General features: G+C 47.0%; 1 annotated feature.

Moving 5' to 3' along the window:
* Positions 765 to 1,964: an enhancer, noted in NCBI's record as "CDK7 strongly-dependent group 2 enhancer chr6:14035147-14036346 (GRCh37/hg19 assembly coordinates)". NCBI's record gives its function as "activates an origin of replication core promoter dependent on BRD2, BRD4, P300/CBP, MED14 and CDK7 cofactors, with strong dependence on CDK7, by STARR-seq in HCT116 cells {active_cell/tissue: HCT116}" and the evidence as "EXISTENCE:reporter gene assay evidence [ECO:0000049][PMID:35650434]".

Here is a 2,404-nt window from a genome sequence, read left to right on the forward strand (position 1 = left end):
GGTGCTTTTCAAGTGCATATAAGAAGACTTGGAGTCCACCCTGGAGAGTGCTTCTCTGGCTGAACTCCCAATCTAGTCTGCGTGAAGGAAGGCAGATTTCTTCTGATAACAATACTTTGACCCAAATCTCTGCCAAACAGTGACCTGGGGCTATGACGCTACGTCTAGTCAGATTCCCTCTTCAATACGAATGGTACCATGTTCCAATCATTCCTTCTGGAGTCGGAACAGAGGAATATTTTGTTCGTTGTCCTGTTGGAGACAAGTGGGAAGTCATCTGGCGAGGAGGGAGAAGGTGAGAGGGTGAGAGTTTGAGGCAGAGGAAGGGGCAGGAGCCCATATTGGGAACTGCAAGCGGTAACGCTTAGCTGGTTGTAGCATGCATGGGGGCGTTCGGGAGAAGGGGCAATGGAGAAAGCCGAGGCTGGGTGAACAAGCAAGAAACCAGTTATGTGGGGTTTTGATGGTCATGCCAGGGATTCTGAGTTTTGTTCTAAAGGCAATGGGAACTTCAGCTATATTAGGGGTTTTAAACAGGGATGACATGAGCAGCTTTATGTTTTAGAACAAGTACTCTGCCCCCTGAAGCGTTGGTGCCTCTCTCGAGGCAGGGAGGCCAGGTATGAGGCTGCGGCAGAAGACCAGGGAGCGGTCATGAGGCAGTGAGATTAAGAAAGTGGGATGCCTTGGAGAGAGAGCCAGGAGGTGAGGTCAACAGAGTGGCAATGTTGTGTAGTAGGAGGTAGGAGTGAGAGGAGCCTGGCTTGGGGAAATGGGTGGATGGTGGTGGCATTCCTTGGGGTAGGGAACACAGCACGGGCACATGGTGTGTGTGGAGGTGCACAGTATGATCTGGTTCCTGTTGGGGTCCCCCACCCTGCTAAGAATGGTCCTGGACCCCCCACTTCACTGGATAGCCCTCTGTCCCTCGCTTGTCCTCATTTCACTAGGGAATAGCACAGTTGTAGAATAATTCTCAGGAGTGGCTTGTCCCTCCTTCCTCAGCTAGGGCCCAATGGATACACCCACCTCGAGGCCGGATCGTCGTAGTGTTGCAACGGCACTCCCTGTCTTGGGATGCCCTTTGGGTAAGACAGCTCCTGCAAGGTGTGGTGTCTATACACGTTGGAATAAAAAGTACCTTTGAGGTCTGTATATTGGATGTTCTACCCTGGTGTAGCTCCATTTGGTCTGCCACTTGGGGAAATTGGGTCCGATCAGAGGTCTAATTTTATCAGACGTACAAAGCTCTTATTTAGCTTTTTCTTTGTTACCTTTGCTTATTTATTTAGCACACTCAAAGTTTAAAAACGTAATAGACTGAAGAAAAATCACCTATGGCAGGGGTTGGCTAAATATCAATCCTGTTTTCTCTTCCAGGCACCCTGGGAGATTGCATTTCCCAAATTCCATTCTACTTAGGCTGGGGCCAGATGACTGGGTTTTCGCCAGTGGAATGTGGCTGGGAGAGATTCAAGCTGCTTCTGGGCCTGGCATAAAAACCCGACATGCTCCTTCTTCCCCTTCTGTGACAACGTGGAAGTCCACGTGTTTAAGATGGTGGCAGCATAAGATGGAAGGAACTTAGATTCCTGAGTCACCTCCTGGAAGTGAGCTACCAAACTGCTTTCCATGTGATTTGAGTAAGGAATAGGCCTATATTGTACCAAGCCACTGAGATTTGGGGGTTGTTGTTGCAGTTATTTATCCTAACATACTAATACAGCAGTAGATCAAGGTATTCTTCTATGACAGTAAGACCTCTCTTCTGCTGATTTTCTGTATTAAAACTTGCCTGCTGGGTCATGGGCTCATGAGAGGACAGACAGGACATCGTACAACTTCTCTAGCTAAGCTCATCAGCCTCTCATTGTACTACTTTGAAAACAGAATGCACATATTTTAATGTGTATATGCACACAGACATATTTCTAAAGCTAATTCTTGAAGTATGCACTGGCTGACAAGTACATGCTTCGAAGGAATTTGTAAATACTAGACCACAGTCAAGAAAAACAGAGTTCAAAAAATCTGTGTGCTTCCAGACAGGATTTTTTTTCAGAATTGGAAGTATAATGACGACCCCTCATGGGGCATACCCTGAAACCAACCCTCATCTCAGTACTTCTCTTTTGGAGGGAGCGACTTCTGTTGTACCTTAAATATTCTCCCCTGTCACCATCATCACGGGGACAGCTTGGCATATCTTTCCCTCCCTGCTCAAGGGTCAGCATGTAAGCAGTGGGGACTCAAGGTTAAGATGACCAGAGACAAAAGCGAGGAATCAGAACCATTGTGTATGTAAACAGAAGACTGAAGTTACAATACTTGACGATTTTTCTCTTCTCTAAGGGAGGGAAGTTAATTTTGTCCCCACTGAAGGGTTTTTACGTGATGTATCATC

Source organism: Homo sapiens, chromosome 6 (genome assembly GCF_000001405.40).
Source record: "Homo sapiens chromosome 6, GRCh38.p14 Primary Assembly".
Lineage (NCBI taxonomy): Eukaryota > Metazoa > Chordata > Mammalia > Primates > Hominidae > Homo > Homo sapiens.